Source organism: Homo sapiens, chromosome 5 (genome assembly GCF_000001405.40).
Source record: "Homo sapiens chromosome 5, GRCh38.p14 Primary Assembly".
NCBI classification, from domain to species: domain Eukaryota; kingdom Metazoa; phylum Chordata; class Mammalia; order Primates; family Hominidae; genus Homo; species Homo sapiens.
The window spans coordinates 141,756,877-141,775,731 of record NC_000005.10 but is presented as its reverse complement, the minus strand read 5'-3'; the positions used below and the strand labels follow the sequence as shown (position 1 = coordinate 141,775,731).

General features: G+C 52.3%; 1 long non-coding RNA gene across 1 annotated transcript, besides 4 other annotated features; it reads left to right on the top strand.

Annotated features, from left to right (window-relative positions):
- The first annotated feature begins 510 nt into the window (after positions 1-510).
- On the top strand, positions 511-18,433 carry LOC124901094 (uncharacterized). The gene is made up of 2 exons (XR_007058975.1): positions 511-822; positions 5,395-18,433. It is a non-coding gene; the product is annotated as an uncharacterized LOC124901094 (long non-coding RNA).
- Positions 13,205-13,705: an enhancer, noted in NCBI's record as "H3K4me1 hESC enhancer chr5:141141594-141142094 (GRCh37/hg19 assembly coordinates)". NCBI's record gives its function as "activates a minimal SCP1, AML or CMV promoter by ChIP-STARR-seq in primed H9 embryonic stem cells {active_cell/tissue: H9 hESC(primed)}" and the evidence as "EXISTENCE:reporter gene assay evidence [ECO:0000049][PMID:30033119]".
- Positions 16,453-17,022: an enhancer, noted in NCBI's record as "H3K4me1 hESC enhancer chr5:141138277-141138846 (GRCh37/hg19 assembly coordinates)". NCBI's record gives its function as "activates a minimal SCP1, AML or CMV promoter by ChIP-STARR-seq in naive H9 embryonic stem cells {active_cell/tissue: H9 hESC(naive)}" and the evidence as "EXISTENCE:reporter gene assay evidence [ECO:0000049][PMID:30033119]".
- Positions 17,023-17,591: an enhancer, noted in NCBI's record as "H3K4me1 hESC enhancer chr5:141137708-141138276 (GRCh37/hg19 assembly coordinates)". NCBI's record gives its function as "activates a minimal SCP1, AML or CMV promoter by ChIP-STARR-seq in naive H9 embryonic stem cells {active_cell/tissue: H9 hESC(naive)}" and the evidence as "EXISTENCE:reporter gene assay evidence [ECO:0000049][PMID:30033119]".
- Positions 17,592-18,161: an enhancer, noted in NCBI's record as "H3K4me1 hESC enhancer chr5:141137138-141137707 (GRCh37/hg19 assembly coordinates)". NCBI's record gives its function as "activates a minimal SCP1, AML or CMV promoter by ChIP-STARR-seq in naive H9 embryonic stem cells {active_cell/tissue: H9 hESC(naive)}" and the evidence as "EXISTENCE:reporter gene assay evidence [ECO:0000049][PMID:30033119]".
- Positions 18,434-18,855: the final 422 nt, after the last annotated feature.

Here is an 18,855-nt window from a genome sequence, read left to right as displayed (position 1 = left end):
TATGAGAATCTAAAGCATTCTCTGACAGGAGGCAGAGTTCAGGTGGTACCGGTCTGTGGCCTGGGGGTTAGGGAACCCTGGAGTAGGTGACATTTAAACTGAGGCCTAAATTATGAGAAGGATCCAACCAGGGCCCACTTCTCCATTAAGGACAGTAGCACAGTGCCCACAATACTTTTAGGGGCCCTCAAAATATTTTAATTTCTTTTAAAATCAGAAGAAAACAATGAACTTTTAGGTTAAAGAAACTATAGGTTAAAATAGTTTCTTTCTTTTTTTTTTTTTTTTTTGAGAGTCTCGTTCTGTCACCCATGCTGGAGTGCAATGGCGTGATCTCGGCTCACTGTAACCTCCATCTCCCAGATTCCAGCAATTCTCGTGCCTTGGCTTCCCGAGTAGCTAAGATTACAGGCACACACCTCCACACCCAGCTAATTTTTTGTATTTTTAGTAGAGACGGGGTTTTGCCATGTTGCCCAGGCTGGTCTTGAACTCCTGAGCTCAGGTAATCTGCCAGCCTCAGCCTCCCAAAGTGCTAGGATTACAGGCATGAGCCACCGCGCCCAGCCAAAATAGTTTCTTTAACATAACCATGCTTATACCAATGCAGTACTAAAATATAATTTGTATATATTTTCATGAAGGAAGGGACCCACAAAGGCAAGTGCCTAGGACCCACACAAATCACAGTGTGGCTCTTGCTCCAACCATGGGAGAAGCCACAGAAGAGCATTCCAGGCAGAGGGCACGGCAAGTGCAAAGGTTCTGAGGTGGGAATGAGCTGGACATGTTTGAGAAACAGCAAGAAGGACCTCAAGTGAGGTAAGTAGCTTGGGGAGAGTGATGAGAAATGAATGTGGAGGGTCAGATCGTGGAAGAACTGTGCATAGAGATGCGGGCCAGGGTGAGGAGGTGAGCTGATGACCAAGGGGGCTGCCACTGACTGCTCTTGGGGGCAGCAGGTAGTGAGCTGCTTCTCAGTGTCAGAAGGGCTAGGGCCGTACCTGGGCTAGCAGGGTGACCAGTGTGTCCCCTTTAGGGGAAGGCTTGAATACAAACCTGCCTGCTACATCTTTCCAGCCAAGATGCAGGCCCAGGGAAACCTGTCTCTTGACAACCCACAATCCCTAAGAGATTTCCTGGATCCTCCTGCCCCCGAGGAAAAAAGTGGGCTGTGTCTCAGGCATAGCGCTGAGCAGGTGTTGCTTGGTAGGTGTTTCTGAGTTGGGGGCTGAGCCCCTCTGTCTTGGCCTCATTTCTGGGGCTCACAGCCCCTCCCTGGGACAGCCAGTATTGGAGGGGGGGATGGGACTTCAGCAAGTGAGATACAGTGAGGAGCTATTTAAAGCTGCCGGCAGCTCTCCCCTTCTGTTCGCGGCTCTGCTGGGTGGGAGCTGCCATCGTCACGCACCCACCGGTGCCTCAGGAACACAGCAGCCCAGCGCACCCACACGGAGGCACGTGGAGAGGGTCTTGGTGCACTTCCACAGGCTGGCAGGGGTCCCGCAGCTTGTAGGGCAAGGCTGATAAAGCAGGAATGGACCCTGGACAGCCCCTCACTCTCACCCCGGGTTTCTACCTACAGCCCAGAAAAGTGGCCTACATTTAGGTCACCTGCCCTCCATTGGCTACAAGTGCAAACAATTAGCAGCTTCTTGAGGGTGTTGATGGAGGCAGGGGGGATCTTCAGGCCCTGTGGGACTGGTCGTGCTTCTTGTGCCCTGGAGGTTGTCCCATGCCTTGGGGGAGGAGCGACAGGCACCCAGCCCTCCCAAAGCTGTAGCTTGGAATGAGCGTCTTCCTGGAATGTTCGGGACCCATCCCTGCCCCACTCACACCTCCCAGGGTCCCACCAGAGGAGACTGACTGTAGGGGCTGCCTAGGGCCTGCAGGGGCTAAAAGTGCAAGCTGTGGAGGAAAATGGGCCCTGTTATGAATCCAGGCACGTGACTTGACCTTGTTGAGCCTCAGTTTTCTTCTCTGTGAAGGAGAGAAGGGGGCATTGGGTGTGATGAAGGGGACTTATGAGCCTTTTTCTTCTCTGTGATGTGGGTATAAAAACAGTGTCCACCTCAGATGGTCAGGGAGATTTTGAGTTTAAAATGTCCAGCTTTCTCATAGCCTAGCAGAGTGAGCAATCAATGAGCGAAAGCTTTTACCTATATTATTATTGTTATCGTTTATTTGAAATTGCTCTCCTCTCCCCCAAAACCAAAGGGTCATAGTGGTTCTCTTCAGGACCCGGTGGATGCAGACATAGGCTGCAGGGTCCGGGGGAGGGGAAGCAGCAGGTGAGTTTGGCCTCTGGGTGACTATGTGCCATCTGTGGCCTGGACACACACTGGCCCCTGGCACTTATTGGGACTCCCTGTGAAGTCATCAGCCAGCCTTAATGACTGTTGAAGGCTCCATCCCTGTTCTGATGCTCACCAGCAGAACACCCTGCTCACAGACCCAGGTTCAGGAGCTGTTCTGAACCTCAGGTGAGAACTGCTGATCAACCAGACCAGGGCAAGGGGGAACTTGGGCTCTTCTTTCTGGACCAGACAGACAGTTCTACAGGGTCAACCCTGAAACACAGAACCACCTGCAGGGCCAGACCACAGTGATAAGAGGATCTCTAAGGGGAATGTCCTAAATAGGGAGGACCTCTGGCAACTCAAAACTGCACAGGGAAAGGAGAGATGGGGAAGCCTCAGGACTGAGAGGTGAGGGCTAGAAGCAGCAAAGTGAGTACTGGGAGCAGAGGCCTGCCATTAGGTGCAGCCGGGGAGACAGGCTAGGAGCAGGTAGATGGAGCTCCAAGGAGCCCACCCAGTGGCCTTTCACCACATCCAGGTTTCTTCATCTCCTTTAATACCTCCTTCTGACCCATCCACTTCATCCACATTCACCATCCCTTGAACAAACCTCATGCAATGTCCCATCACTCCAGCCAGTGTCCCCTTCATCACACCAAATGCCCCTTCTCCCTTCTAGGCCCTTTTCACTGAACCTCCTTCACTTTCATCCCATCTGATTGCATCCCAAGGTGCTACGACCTCCACCTAACCCCTCCATTATCCCACCCAGGGTCCTCTCCAGGCATCCCCAAGTCCTCTGCCAAAGTCCCAGGACTCCAACTTCAGCCCAGCTAGTTCCCTTTTCCAGGTCCCCATCACCCCCCCTCCGTGAGCCGCCCCGGAGCTGAATCAGAGCCATAGAACTAACATTTTGCACACACGTCTCTCCAGATGACAGGCAAGCTGGGCCTTCTGCCCTCGGCCCACACATACCCGTGCTCAGGAAGCACAGAAAGCCAGGGCTGCACCCCACATGGGTGAGGAAGAGGGCTGGGGGTGGGGGTAGGGGCCCTTCCCTGCCGGAGAGCTAGCCCGGCCCTGGCCCCTCGGGCCTTTGTTCAAGGCTTGGGACTCACATTTTAGGGAGCAGAACATGTGTGAGATGGAGAAATACACAGGGCTGGTAGACAGAGGCAGCGAGAGAGCTCCTATCAGAGACAGGGACAGGACAGAGCAAGGCGTGACAGGGAAACAGGGAAGGAGAGAGAGGCAGGGATGGAGGCTGAATTAAGACAGAGATCAGAGATGGACAAGGAGAGACAGAAATAGGAAAAGAGAAAGGGAGAGTAACTGAGGGAAAAAGCAAACACTCACAGGGAGGGAACCCGGAAGAAAGGAAGCAGAGATGAGCAAAAGGAAGAGGAGGCATTTGTGAGCCTGGGGGAGGGAGAAGAAAAGGGACCCTGAGAAGGATCGAGAGCTCAGATGGGAAGGAGCCGTCAGGAGCCTGAGCAGACCCTGAAGAGAGGCCTCCGAGAAGCTCAGGAAAAACAGAACCCAGGGCTTCTGCAGGATGATCCAGGGCTGTGCCTGGAGCAGGAGAGCAGAGGCAGCTCCCAGGACTCAGAGGGGAGCTGCTGGCAGGTGCACTGAAATTACTGGGGAGGACCATGCACTCCCTGACCTGGCAGAGCCTGGGCCCAGGACTTGGGCCAGGAAGGGTTGGGCTGATCCCAGAGCAGGCCTCCTGACGCTAGCCAGTGTTCTTTTGCTACCCAGCATTGCTTCTGTCCATATTCCTAATAGCACCATTTATTTGAGAACCTACAAGGTAACAGGTACTTACAGCCATTCTCTCTTCCAATCCTTTCACAAAATGCTTGCAAGACCAAATCATTGTTACCCCCTCAGATGCAAAAACTGAGACTCAGAAACATGAAGAACCTTGTCTAGATCTGACTCCACCATGTTACCTATGAGCCTTTTTTCTAGCAGTACTGTGAAGTCTCATCTAAGCATTCACATTTTGTGAGTCTGCAGTTTGCCCATTCACCAACACATACACATGGGTGGACCCCAGGAGACACACACATGCACACACACAAAGGTATCCCCAGAGGGGACTCGGTATCTGTCCTTCATCTGTCCCATGGCTTCCCCACCCCCAGCCCCAGCTCCTCTTGCTTCCCCTCCACAGTATCTCAGATCACCTCCCTCTAGCTCAGCAGCTAAGCACAAGGATGACGTCATTCCTTTTATTTAAAGAAAAGGGCTGAGCTGGAGCTCAGGATGGGGGACCATGTGGGAGCAAAAGCCAAGTGACTGGCCTCCCAGCTCCTGGCCTCTTCTATTCCCCAACCCGCAGTCTGCTGAGCTGCCTCACGACTCCTGCCACATCCCCTGAGAAGCACCCCAGAGAGGGCCCTACTCAGCATGGGAGCAGTATGGGGAGACCAACAGGTTAACCAAGAAGCAAGAGTTCTGTGAGGGTGTTACCAGCTAGTGTGTTTGTTAAGGGCTCTCTGAAGTCAAGATACATGCTTTTGTTAAAGGCATACAGGGGAAACTGAGGCTCCAGGACATTAAGTCATCCAAGGTGGTTATCTGTGCATGGCATTCCAGTAGGAGGGTGCCAGGGAGGAGGACCAAGTAGGGAACTTACTACCAGAATCACTAGGTCTAAGTTCTTTCTCTTTCATGCTCTAATGGTCAGACTCTAACCACCTGTTTCTTCCTGGAACACCTGAGAGGGGGCTTTAGCACAGAAAGAGCCCCTGGCCCAGGAGTAGGTCTGCTCAGCTGCTGTGGCCTGAGTTCTCATCCATGCCAGGACCTCTCAGCAATATCTCCAACTATTTCATGCCCCAGCCTCACTCCCTTCTGGAAGGTCCTTTTTTGAGGGGTATGGAGCATTTAGTACCTCATTTAAATCTAACAACATTGCTAAGAGATTGGTACAACTATTACCTCATTTTACAGACCAGGCAACTGAGGCTTGGAAAGGGTAAGCTACCTGCCCAAGTCACACAGCTGGTAAGTGGCAAAGCCGGAGTACAAACCCAGGCCTGTCATGTTCTAAAGCCACTATCCTCTGCTTCTTACTATTCTGCAGGACTCTCCCCCAAGACCCCCTGTGCTCCCCCGCAATGGACTGAATGTTCGTCTCCTCCAAATTCATATACTGAAATCCTAACCTCCAAGGTGGAGCCTTTGGAAGGGGATTAGGTCAGGAAGTCAGAACCCTCGTAAATGGAATTAGTATCCTAATAAAATAGATCCTTGAGAGCTCCTTCACTCCTTCTGCCATGTGAAGACACAGCAAAAAGGCACCGTCTAGGAAAAGTGGGCCCTTGCCACACACCGAATCTGCTGGCACTTTGATCTTGGACTTTCCAGCCTCCAGAACTGTGAGAAATCAATTTTTATTGTTTTCAAGCTCCCTATTTTATGATATTTTGTTGTAGCAGCTGAAACAGACTAAGACATCCCTGAATGAGGTTAAGAGGTTTATTGAGTCTGCAAGCCTTTCTTCTCTACAACTTTATCCCAGCAAGAGACTCCACACCAGGGGACTGGGTGGAGTCCCACTCTCTTTTGTTCCCCCATCAGTTTCCAAGGTCCCTAACTCTGGCAGTCTTTAGTGAGTCCCTGCCAGAAACAGGCAGAGATGCTCGTTCTATATTTTATTTAGCCACTAATTGCCTGCATTTAAAAGGCATCACAGTGCCATCCACGTCCTCTGCTTCATGCCCTGATGCGTGTTTCTGCATGAAGGGACACGGGGCAGGGGAGTGAGGGGGAGAGGGGCCACAGTCTCCCCAGTGACAGCTTTAAAAGCCTGACCCCAGTGCTGAGTGCTGGAGGATGTCAGGTTGTCACCCTGAGAAGCGAGAGGAGGCATGCAGGGGCTGGGGCCTCTGCAGAAAGGAGGAGAGAGGTCAGGGCCCTGGCGAGGGCCAGGAAAGAGTTGTGGGGGGGCACTCCATGTCCCCACTCACCCCTAGGATGAGGGCCCGGCTGATGGAGATCTACCCAGAATGCCTTGTTTTCAGCTCCACTTTCCAGCCTGGAGGACTCTGCAATAAGCAGCTGCCTGGAAAAGGGTATGGTACGGGCCGCAGACAGTCATGTCTGCTGCGATCAGTAAGGAGACAGCATTTGAGCCTTGGCTTTGCCCAAGAGCAAGAGAAGGAAGTCAGGGGAGATGGGAGTAAGGGTTGGAAGGTGGAGGTAAATGGATGAGACAGGTGATAGGTAGATGGCAGCTAACTTTTGAGAAGGCCCCAGTATTCTCCCTTTGGGTTTTCCACCTGCTCAGGAGATGTACACCCTGGTAGATGAAGAGAAAACTTGCTTCTCATCATTTCCCAATCACTTCCAAGTCTAACTCAGAGCCAAATGTAATCTCACTCTGACACCAAGCCTCATACCAACAGCAAACCTACAATCAACCACAACCCTATTGACCCACTCCTCATCTCTAAATCCAAGCCTCATCCGACTACAGTTTCAACCCTAATCCCACACTTCATACCAAAATCAAGCCAAAATGCTCCAACTCAAACTCTAAGAGCAATTAGAATCCTAATATCATTTCCAACCCCAATCTAATCTTAACCAATCCATCACTCATCCCAGACTTCAACCCTAGTTCTTACTGTAATATCCATCTCATAGGGAAATCCACCCCCAACTTCTTTCCCAGTCCTTATTTCTCACCTGACCCAACCCCTTCTCCAACAACAATTTTACCTCCTAACTGCAATTGATGCCAATCACTTGCCCTGGCACTACATCTAGCCCCTGGCTTGGCCCTGTGGCACCTAGACAAGGCTGATTGAGGGTTAGAGGACTGCCATCTTGAGCCAAGCCACCAAGCCATGGGAACTTCAGGGTGGTGCCCCCCACTTTTTGAGTGCTCAAGGTCCCGGCTCTAAGTCTAGGAGTCTGGGCTCTTCCTGCTATGTTCAGCTCCCAGCCACCGGCCCCAGTGACACCAGCCGCTGGGCCTGAGCTAAGAAGCCATGCTTCTCCTGAAGAATGGCAAGAAATTAGCACTTGGCTGGGCCGCCCCATCATTGCTGTTCCTCACACCTTGCTGGGTAATTTCTACAAGACCAAAGCCTGAGCCTAATGGGCCGCCTGCTTCCAGCCCGGTGGACAACATCAGGGAAAGCAGCCCCCAGGGTTTCTCACAGACTAAGGGGCTCTGTGCTCTGCTGAAAGGATGGTGCTTACAGTTGTCAGGAGAGAAGGACACTCTGAAAGCTTGGGATCCTACAGCTGTTGGGTGAGAATGAGCAAGTTAAGAGTGCTCTGCTGAGCCTAAAAAGCAGGAAAACGTTCTCTGCGGCAATGGGAAAAGGAGTCATCTCTGTTAGTGACTTGAGTGCCAAAGAGCCATGTCTGTGCTCGGCACACGCCGAGTGGTGAAGCCTCCAGCGTGTACAGCCATCCAAGCAGCCCCACCGAGAACAGCTCTGTGTACCATGCCCCATTCCTGGGCCCACCACCGTCCACCCTCGAGCCACCCGGTGACGAACACCAGCCATCACCACCGCATGGGCTGGCACCCCACCAGTCCGCTGTCATCACCCACCCCTCTTCCTGGGGTCGGTCTGTCTGCTTAGATGGGGAGCTGGATGGCTGGCCTGGCCGCCAACTCTGCGTTCCCTGCCGGGCCCAGTGCACCATGATTGCTCACCAAAAGCTAACTAAATGGTCTGAACTTTCTCCAGCTTTCTTTCCCAGCAATTTCCACTTCCTGGGAGGGAGGAATGGTGACTTCCGCTCCATCCTACAAGGAAGGCAAGATGGTCTGGTGGCTAAGAGGCATAGCTCTAAAAACAAGCAAACATGTCTGACCACTAACCGTACCTCCAGCCCTATCATTTGCTAGCTGGATGGGCCTTGGGCAAGACATCTTGACTTCTCTGAACTTCAGTTTTCTGTTCTGTAAAGTGAAGATAATTATGGTACCTGTCTCAAAGAGCTGCTTTAAGAATTCAGTGAGGTAGCACACAGTAAGTGTGTGTGTGTGTGTGAGTGCTGAGCATAGTGGCTGACACACAGTAGGTCCTCAGTAAACATTAACTTAGGATCATGATGTGGCTACAGACATTGGTAGCCTAACTTCAAGACAGGGTCCCAAGAGGGGGTCAGTTTGGTCATTGTCCTGGAGAAGGCCCTAAACTTGATGTGTTTACGGTCTTGTCGGAAGCACCCACTTTGCTTTCTCTTCATCCTACCAGACATTCTCCTTTCCCCGTACCACCCTGGGCCAGGGAACCCAGTCATTCCTTCATTCACCCATTCACACATTCACTCATTCACTTCATTCACTCATTCAATATCCAACAAATATTTACAGATTGATTATTCTAATCCAGGCCCTGTGCTATGGGCTGGGGGATAAGTAAACAGGTCAAGGTGCCTACTTTCATGATACCCATGGCCTAAAGTGAAGGGGGCTGGGTGCTTTATCAGTGCTAGGGTGAGGGGCACACAGGAGGACACCCTGGTCTCAGGAATGGCTTCCTGGAGATGGGCTTGTATAAGCTAACATCTGGAGGACAAATAGGAGTTAGCTGGGCAAAGGTAGCCAGGCAAAAGGGAGAAAGAGTGTCTCAGGCAGAGGAAAACAGCCCCGGCAAAGGCCTGGGTGGGAGAAGACATGCAAGCTTTGTGTGACGAGTGTCCTGAGTCGAAGTGGAGCCATAAGCAATGATGCACCATGCAGGCTAGAGTTTGTTATCCTTCCTGGGAGCTCTCCCTGCTGGGATGGTCCTGCTGATACTTTTCCTTCTCTCCACACGCAGCCTCCACAAGGAGACCTGTCCTGAGCCCCTGCCTGGTTGTTGGGGAAAGGAAGGAGAGAGGGTGAGACCCAGGAGAGGAATTTGCACCCTGGGAGGGCCTGAGATGGAAAGAAACCAGGAAGAGTGATTCCTCAGCTGGAGATAATGTCTACAGTAACCAGTCCACTGAGGCATGAACTCCATTTTCTCACTCAATCTTCATAACAGCATTACAAGGAGATACTCTTATTAGTTCCGTTTTGCAAATGATGAGACTAACACATTGAGAGTTTCAGTAACATGCTTCACACCTACAGAATGTGGCCCTGGTGTCAGTCCCCAGAGCCTGTGCTCTTAACCCCCAGGCCACCCTGGATATGGGGCAGCACAGGGGTGGGGGTGGGGACCAGGGACAGGAAGGCAGTGGAGGGAATGGTTCTTGGGGTAGCTCCCCTTGGCCTCTTGACCAGCCAGTCTCCTTGAGACAGACCAGGGAGCAAGTGCCTGCCAGAGCCTGACAGGACAAAGTTCCCCATTCAGAGTTCTGATGATCTCTCCCAGCTGCTCAGCTCCTTGCAAAGCATTTTCCCTTAATAGCCTCCTATTCAACAGAACGGCTGCAGCCCACATCTGTGGAAACCAGGCCACAGCAACTCCTCCTACCAGGCCAGCAGGGCTGCCATGGCCATGGTCACCATGTCCTAAGCTTCTCCTTGTCCCTCCAAGTCAGGAAACTTCCAAGCCCCTTCCACTCCACCCGCTGTTTCCAGGACTCTGCCTACAGCAGAGGGACGGAGCTGAGATGCTTTCCCTCAGATCAGTCTGTCCTTAACTTTTCTCTGCCCAATGCATCTTCAGGGTGAGATTGGAGAGCAGGAGGATGGGTAGAACTCCTGGGTTCTCATCCCTCCTCTGCCTCTAACTTGCTTCGTGACCTTGGAAAAGTCACTTTACCTCTTTGGGACTACCGTTTCATCAACTGTAGAATAAGAAGAGGGCCCAGCCTGAAATCAGAAGCCCAGAATCCTGGATCTACCACTAACAAGGTGTGACCTTTGACATACCTCTCTGAACCTCAGTTTCCTCTTCTATATAAACAAGTCGACCCACCTCCGCAGCTACTGAGAGGATTCAAAGAGATGACCCATGTGAAGCACTTAGCATAGTGCCTGGCTCAAAGTAAACAACAAATAAATGTTAGCTGTAATTATTGTTATTACCATTTTCATAATTGGTGTTTTTCAAACTTTTTAGCTGTAGATTTTTTTTTATGTTCAAATGCAAATTTTTAAGCAGAACCCCGATACCATATATGAAAAGTGATGTGTTGGAAGAATGCTTGTTCACGCCTCCTGCCAGCTCTTCCCAGTGCTGATGCACAGGGGCCTCTGGTTTTGACCAGTAAGTCCCAGACCCAGCTGATTATCAGACCATCCTGGGAGGATTTCAAAACTAATATCCCAAGCCCTACTCCTGAGATTCTCATTCAGGGAGTCTGGGGTAACCCCAGAGAGTAGAGCTTATGGAATCATCCAGGTAGTTCTAATGATCTCCCGGGTTGGGGCATCATTAAGGACCCTTCTGGATCTGACAGCAGGACTTTGAGTACAAGGGCCTCCTTCCCTATGGTCCTCTCTTAAGCTGAGAAATAGCCCACACAGGCCCAGTGAGTTCCAGTTATTTCCATGCCCTCTCAGCTGGCCTCCCATCAAGGTTCCTTTCTGTGAGTTCTTTCTCTTGGAGTCCTGACCGAAAGGGAACACGGAGAAAATGCTCCTTGACTTCCCTCCAGGCCCAGCCCACAGTCACCATGTTCCTGCTCCTCCTTTCCAGGCCTACCTGTCTTGAAGGCTTTCCATGTGCCGGGCACCATGCCAAGTGCCTTACATTTACCATCTTGCTAAGTCCTCACAAAGCCCTATGAGGTATGAATTATCATCATGCCTGCTTGACAGATGAGAAAACAGAAGCAGAGAGGTGAGGTGACTTGATCAAAGCCACACAGCTGTAAATAGTCAAGATGCAACTCTACCCTAGGCCTGCCTGACCCCATAACTCATGCTCTTACCTGTACTGCTGATGTCCTCCCCTCTGTGCCCCCAACTCCTAACCTTACTCTATCAGTCTCTACTCCCTGCCTCCCACATCCCCAGAAACCTGCCAAAGTTTCTCCCAAGGAGCATGGCTTCGGGCCACAGCTCCTGTACTGGCAGGCAAGAAAAACCACAGCAGGGTCTGACCTAACTGGCATCTGAGAATGCCCTGGGTCCCAAATAGGAGTAGAGAGGCCAGGCACTTGCTTGGGAGATGAGAGATGAACGTGTGAATCCAGCCATCCAGCCAGTCTCTCCTGAGTGGATCTTCCATCTGCCATCTGCCATGTGGCATTCATCCATTCATCCATCCAGATACCACGTCAGCCTGAATTTACCAGCCCTGGTCATCTGTCAATCTTTCTTCTGACATCAGAGGCCACCCCGTGGTCCTTACTTGCCGCTTTGCTCATCAGTTGGTCAGTCCATTTTTACAGACCAAGGGCCTTGGTTTGTGAGATTCTGGGGTGGAGATCCCTGATCTCAGTGAGAACAGATCTAGCCACTGTTCCCACAGACCTCATAATCAGACACCCACAGAGCCAGCATCCATCCAGCAGCACCCCCAGGTCATGTTGTGGAACAAAGTCTCCCTTTCTGCCCCTACCACCACCTCATCTCCCCTGGGCTCAGCTGCCCCCACTGTTGGGGACCTTTCCCTTTGTGACCTGTCTTGGTAATTTGGGAGGTGATTAACAGCAATCACGCTTGAGTTTGACATCCAGGCACGGCCGCTAAATTGAGGCTCACAAAGCCGCCTTGACATCCAATATGTTATATGCTTTTCCCCTTAATTAGGAGCTAAAGTGGATAAATATGAAGTTGCCATGGCAACAGCCTCCCGGGTTGGTGGAGGGATGCAGCTCAGTTTCTGTCTGCTGGCTGGCTGACATGTTGGTTGATGGACCAAACTGGCTCCTGGGAAGGGTGAGATGGAGCCCTCTCCCACTTTCCTGGAACCTGCCCTCCAAGCCCCAGTTCTGGTTACTCTCTCCATCACTGCTCATCAGACTCCACAGAGTCTGACAATGCCCCACCTGGTCCATAGATCTCAGTTGGTCTAACTCCCTCATGGAACAGCTAGAAAAACTGAGGAGGTTGGTTCCTCCCCAAGGAGTGAGAGGCAGACAAGATCTAACACCCACATCTCCTGACTTCCAGACTAGTCAATAGTGGTTCTTAACTGTCTGGAGTACCTAGATCCCTTGAAGAATCTGTTGAAAGCTATAGATTCTGCAACATAGGCCAGAGATCAGCCACACAGTGGGGTTCTGACCCGGGACTGCAGCGAATCTGCTTTTAAAATTTCATAAACAGTCGAGCACATACTGTGTGCATTTTCTCACATGCTCTAAATTAATCCTTGAAATCCTATGAGGTAGGAACCGTAATTATCCCCATTTTACAGAGTTTCAGAGAAGTTTAGCCATTTTCTCAATGTCACACAGCTAGCTGGTGGAGGAGTCAGGATTTGGACCCAGGTCTGTCTGCAGACTGCGAAGTCCAAGCTCTAACCGCTATACTCTACTGCCACCTGGACGGCCTTTCTCTGACCCACAAGTAATGACTGTAGCAGCTGTGGGGTTTCAGCCAAGGAGTCCTTCTCTTGCCTAGGGAAGTGAGAACACTCTGAAAAACTCCCTCTCTTCCTCTAGCTCTACAGAAGGACGGGTGGAGGAGAGTCTCTTGGCTCTTGTCTCATACAAGCCTCCTATTGAGGAAGAGCCAGCCCCAAACACTGCTAATAGAGGTCAAGATGTTTAAATGTTGAAGGAAGAAGCCAGGGTTCCATTCAAAGAACCTACAAAAGAAAGCACCTCAGAGCTACCAAAGTCCTATTTTTGGGAGACCAAACTAGGTCTTCCTCCTTTCCCTTCTCCTTCTTTGCCAACAAGACCTACTGCAGAGCCCTGTGTTTGGGCAGGGAAAGGAGGCAGCGCTTCCTCCCCAGCCCCCAACCCAGAGCATGTCCCCTTGCTTGGAGATCCATCAGGCCCAAGCCTTGCTGGCAGGTGGGAGGTGAGCCATGCCTGCCTCCCCGAGGAGCTGGGACTCGGGGCTCCTCCAGCGCCCCCGCACCACGTGGCGTGGGTGCTGGCAGCAGGAGCTGGGGCTGGTGGCTTGGCCCTCGAACTTCCTTTCCTTCCAGTTCTGACTAAAAATAGAGACGGCAAGGACGCATCTCATTCTGTCAGACAGTGTAGGGGGGACGCCTGTGCAGATATAGGCCCCCTCTTTCTGAGCATGTAAGACCCAGCCCCCAGTTCTCCCCATATACGCCCCTGCCTCACAGCCTTCCTCTGTGGCAGCAGCCATTGCCCAGGATCCAGGGTTAGGGCAGGGGATTTCCCACTTTCCCGAAAGTGGCTTCACGGGTTTCCTCTCCCTCTCCCTTCAAGCCATGTAGGATGGGTGGGACAAGCCTGTCAGGACTGGACCTCTTCCTACCTTTCAGTACTGGAATTAGGTGCAGAAGTCCAGGCAGCTGAGTGGAGCCCTAGGGTGGTAGTAGTGGGCGAGAGAGAGTATGTGCTCTAAGGATGTCTTGTATGTTGCACTTCTCAGGGAATATGACTGTCAAGTCCCAGGGTCCCTCCTACCTCTTGGCTTCCTGCAGGTCCTCTCTCCAGGTGATTGAGAGAAACCCCTGGTCTCCTGTTTGGGTGCTGGGTTCCTGTAGGCAACGCTACCCATCAGAGAGGCTCAGGTGGGGTGTACAACAGGTGTGAGGGAGGAGTCTAGAATCATCCGCTGTTCCCCTCTACCCAGCTCCCCACACCCAGCTGCCCAGTTCAGAGCTATGCTTAGGGAGAATGCAGCCTCTCTGCAAAGACCCTCCTTGATATCAAAACACACACACACACACACACACACACACACACACACACACACACACCCTTTCCCGGACACAGTGAATTTATAAGACTACACCAGGTCTTGAGGGCAAGAAAAGCTGGGGAGGTGGGGCTAAGCTGTGGACAGGCACAAAAATGGTACCTTTACCATGGCTCCTTGTCACCCAAGGGAATGGTTTCTTCCTGGGGCAGAAGCCGAGCTCCAGACTTCTGATTCACCCCCACCCAATCCAATCTAAGCACACAAGACTCTAAACACTTACTGGTTCAATCACACAGGAGGTGGTGAGAAGTAGGAGGGAAGAAGCAGTTTGTTGTTTATTGCTAGTGCCTGGAACAGTGCCTGGCACATAGTAGGTGCTTGGAAAGCTTTGTTAAGTGAGTGAATGAGAGAATGAATAAATGAATGAATGAGATGCAGGCATGAACCAAGACAGGAAGGGAATCATTAAAGCCATCATTATGGTACTTTTGCAACAGGGTTGGACTGGGAAATTAGAGCCAAGGGCAGGCTAATAATTTGGTGCCTCTTCAAACCAACACTCTTTCAATATTTGTTCAATATTTATTTGGAAGAGAAGCTGCGCGGAGACTGTGCAGAGAAGGGGGCCTGCTCACAGCCCTCAGCCTCTCCTCCACCTGCTGAACAGTTCACTGCCGGCCCTAACCTTGCTTGCCCTACTGAGCTTCACCAAAACTCTTTGGTTCTCCAGGACCCGCCCCCTCGGAAGGGAAGGGAGTTTAATGAACAATTGTAGCCCGTCGGCCCCTGGGGATCTCACCTCTGTACCTAGCAGCTTATAGAAGTGTTCCTGCCAACACCCTCCACCCCCACAGCGGCTTGTGCCTGGTAGATACTCTTTTCTCCAACTCATTAGGTGACTAGTGAAGTTTTAGTGCCCCTTAGAGATGAGTGCCCCGGGCAGCCGCCTGGTGGACCCCTCTCCATCAGGCCTCTTCTCCAAGTGACTACGGAGGGGAACGGCATGGAGGAGGATTTCCTCAGTGCCCTCCTCAGCTCCTGGCCATTACCCACCACCATATTTAGGAGGAAAGGTCAGGAGGGGGAGGAGGAGTGTGTGCAGGGGTCAAATCCCATTGCTTCTAGCTTGGAGCAGGTGAGAGGAGAGTGACCAACTGGCTGCCAGAAGGGACTCCCACTTCCTCCCAGTGAGCTCTAGACCAGGCCTGTAGCTCTTGGTCCCCACTCTGCAGGGGAGCATCCTGAGCCCCATGAGTACAAGCCAGCCTGAGGTAGATGGCATCAGAGCTACTGAAGTAATACTGTCTGACTTCCATTCCCTGGGGATGCCCAGAGAAACCAGATGTCTGGCCAATGAGGCGCTCACCGGAGCAAAGTCTTTAAGTAAATACATAGTCACTCACTTCTGTTTCCTCCACTCTGCTCGCCTCACCCTCCCCTGCTTTCTGCATGCAGGCTCCTACTCCCATCTCAGCCCACCGGCCCCCTGCCCCACAGCCTCCCTGCAGCTAACTTCCCCTCTCCCAGGCCCATAACCAGCCTCTCCATCCCCTCCTCAGCCCCCTGCCACCTGAGCAGCCATAAAATGAAACATCTGAGCACCGGTACAGATGAACAAATAATAAAAACATTAACAGTATATTTCTTGAGCACTCGTTGTGTGCAAGGCACTAGGCTAAATATTTTTTTTTTTTTTGAGACGGAGTTTGGCTCCTGTTGCCCAGGCTGGAGTGCAATGGTGCGATCTCGCCTCACCGCAACCATCACCTCCCGGGTTCAAGCGATTCTCCTGCCTCAGCCTCCCAAGTAGCTGGGATTATAGGCATGTGCCACCACACCTGGTTAATTTTGTATTTCTAGTAGAGACGGGGTTTCTCCATGCTGGTCGGGCTGGTCTCGAACTCCCAACCTCAGATGATTTGCCTGCCTCGGCCTCCCAAGTTGCTGGGATTGCAGGTGTGAGCCACCATGCCCGGCTCTAAATACTTCATTATGTGCATTATCTCATTTACTCCTCATATATCCCCTGTCCCCTGATATATGGGTAACATAGGCTATTCAGGGCAAGGCTCTGGGGTCAGACAGAGTCTCAGCCTTCCCACTTACCAGCTGTGTGAGACACAGGAAAATCACTTAACCTCTCTGAGCCTGGTTTCTCGTCTTCAAAATAGGGAGGTTAAGAATACCTACCCTATAGGGTTGTATGAAGACATAAAGAAATAAAGTGCCTGGGCTGAACGTGGTGGCTCACGCCCTTAATCTCTGCACTTTGGGAGGTTGAGACAGGCAGACCACTTGAGCCCAGGAGTTCGAGACCAGCCTGGGCAACATGGCAAAACCCCACAGTGCCTGTAGTCCCAGCTACTGGTGGGGTACGGGGTGTGCTGAGGTGGGAGGATCACTTGAGTCGGGGAGGTCTAGGCTGCAGTGAGCCTTGATCTTGCCACTACACTCCAGCCTGGGCAACAGCACCAGACCCTGTCTCAAAAAAAAAAAAAAAAGAAAAGAAAAGAAAAAGAAAGAAAATTCTTAGCACAGTGCCTGGCACAAAGGCTGGTTCATGCCGGCTGTTATCACTATTATTATCCTCTTTTTAGATGAGAAAACCAGGGAGGTTGTCATATGCCAGTGTCACGTGTGGCTAGATCGTAGCAGTGTCAGGATTATAACCAAGGCCTCCCTAGTCCTGTCTGAGGGGCTGCAGGCTGGGGCCAAGTCAGATATTCTCTCCCTCCCTGGCTCCCTCCTCCTCTCCGGGGTCACAGGCTTCTCTTTTTCCTTGCCCGTGGAAAGGAAACCTCGTGGCTCCCTAGTGACAGCCAACATCCCACAATGCTCTCGGGAATGTGTGCACACGCCCACCTGCCGGGCCTGGAGGAATTCAGGCTTTAGATTTGAAAGGTAATTCAATCTCCCGGTGCTTCCTCCCCTCCCCCGCAGCGCTGGGTGTTCAAGACGGCGACAAAGACCCAGTTTCAGAGGAACAAGCCCGCAAGTGCAGAGCCGCAGGCACACGCTCAGCCTCACTCACAGGCAGCCCCTTGGTCGTAAGCACATGCTCTGCACCTTGCAGCAGTTACTAGAGACATAGTCCACCCCCGGTCCAGCAGTCACCCATCCCTAACCTGCCCACCCCTGGCCTCTCAAACCTCCAGACTTTGCCAACTCTCCACACATTCCTCAGCTCCCCACGTCCATCGGGCTCTCCGTCCCTCTCCCTTGCCCCATCCTTAGGAAGCTCCCCTTCCTCTACCCATCCGTTTCTCTTCCTTCCAGGCCCCAGACCCAGGGCTACTTCTCGGAGTGAGCACTCAGTGACTGCCCTTTCACCGACAGTGGGGGCAGTCCCCCACAACTCCACACTCCCACCTCTCTTTCTTTCTATCATTGGCTCAGCTCAGCCCAGGCTCTAAGATTGGTGCCCAGCACTTGGGGCTGGGGCAGGAGGAAGCCTGGAGCAGCTCAGCGCTCCTGTTTAATTAATAATGGGTAATAAGTCAACATGTAATTAGAGGATGAGGGCATGTGGCTGTGCTCTTTGGGCCCTGCCCTAGGGGAGTGAGCTGGAGCCTGGCCACACATGCCCCTGCACTGCCCAGGTCCTAGCCAGATCAGCCTCTTGATTCCCCTTGCTTACGCTGGGTCCTGCCACTAGGTCTCTCACCTGTGGTCCCCCCTTCATTCAGCCTTCAGGGTCTTCTCCACTTACTCCTGCCTTGGCTTCCTCTCTGCCTTCCACACTGGGCCAAAGGAGCTCATTCCCCACAGTCCTGGGGATCCCAATGTCTCCAGGGATCACAGTTTCCTGAGGGGCCAGGCCAGTCCCCGACTCCCACACAGGCCTTGAGTACCAGAAGTCCCTGGAAGGAATCCACAACAAGTCGAGCCCCACACCTCTCCTGCCGACCCCATTTGGCTCCTGCACTCTGTCCTCCATTGACATTCTCCCCATTCGCTCCCACTCAGCAGGGAGCCAGTGAGAGCCCTCCAGGGACCTCCCAGTCCCAGCCTGCGCCCTGTCCTCTTCCCTGCTCCAGCTCCTAGAAAAGCCTGTTGGGTGATGGAAGGCAGCTCCCTTCCCAGCACTCCACACCCCACTGTCCATGGGAGACAGTGTGTTGCCCTCCAGTGGCAATAGCCGGCAGCAACCTAGGGAGGAAAGGGTGTCCAGGCTCCTTGGAGTGTCTCAGGTTCAGTCCATCTGGGGGTGGGAGGTGGGGAGGGAGAGCGCCACACCTTTGTCGACTCACCTTTGTCAACGCATCACTTGCAGGCTGGGTTGCTGACTACCTTTCCCAGCAGCCTAGTTAGCTCTTATCCTGTTACTCTGGCCCTGTGCTATCAAGTTCACCTCTGACCTCTTTCCCCAAAGTATCAATGAATGGCAATTCAACTAAATGGCAATAAACACGATCAACACTTCTGTGTGCCAGGCAAAGGGATTTACAAGCATTGGCCCACTCAATCCACACAACAATCCCAAGAGGCAGGAGCAGTTGTCAAAGCCATTTTACAGATGAGGAAACAGTTGCAGTGAAATTAGGGAACCTCCTGGCTCACCCAGCCAGGAGGCGTTGAGCTATGATTCTGACCCTACAGCACTGCTCTTCCCCAGGAGATATTTGGCCTAGAATTATGGTGGAAGGCTGTAAGGAGGTGAGAAGAGGGTTAGGGATGGGAGAGGGGTGTGGTACATGCAGGGGTGCAAGGGGAGTGGTAGGGGGTGCGGGAGTGTCAGGAGCAGGAGAGGATTCCAAAGAGTGATGTGAGGGGGGCACATGAAGTGTGGGGGAGGTGTGTGAGATGTGAGGGGTGAACAGGAGTGGGGAAGTGTCAGGCATGTGA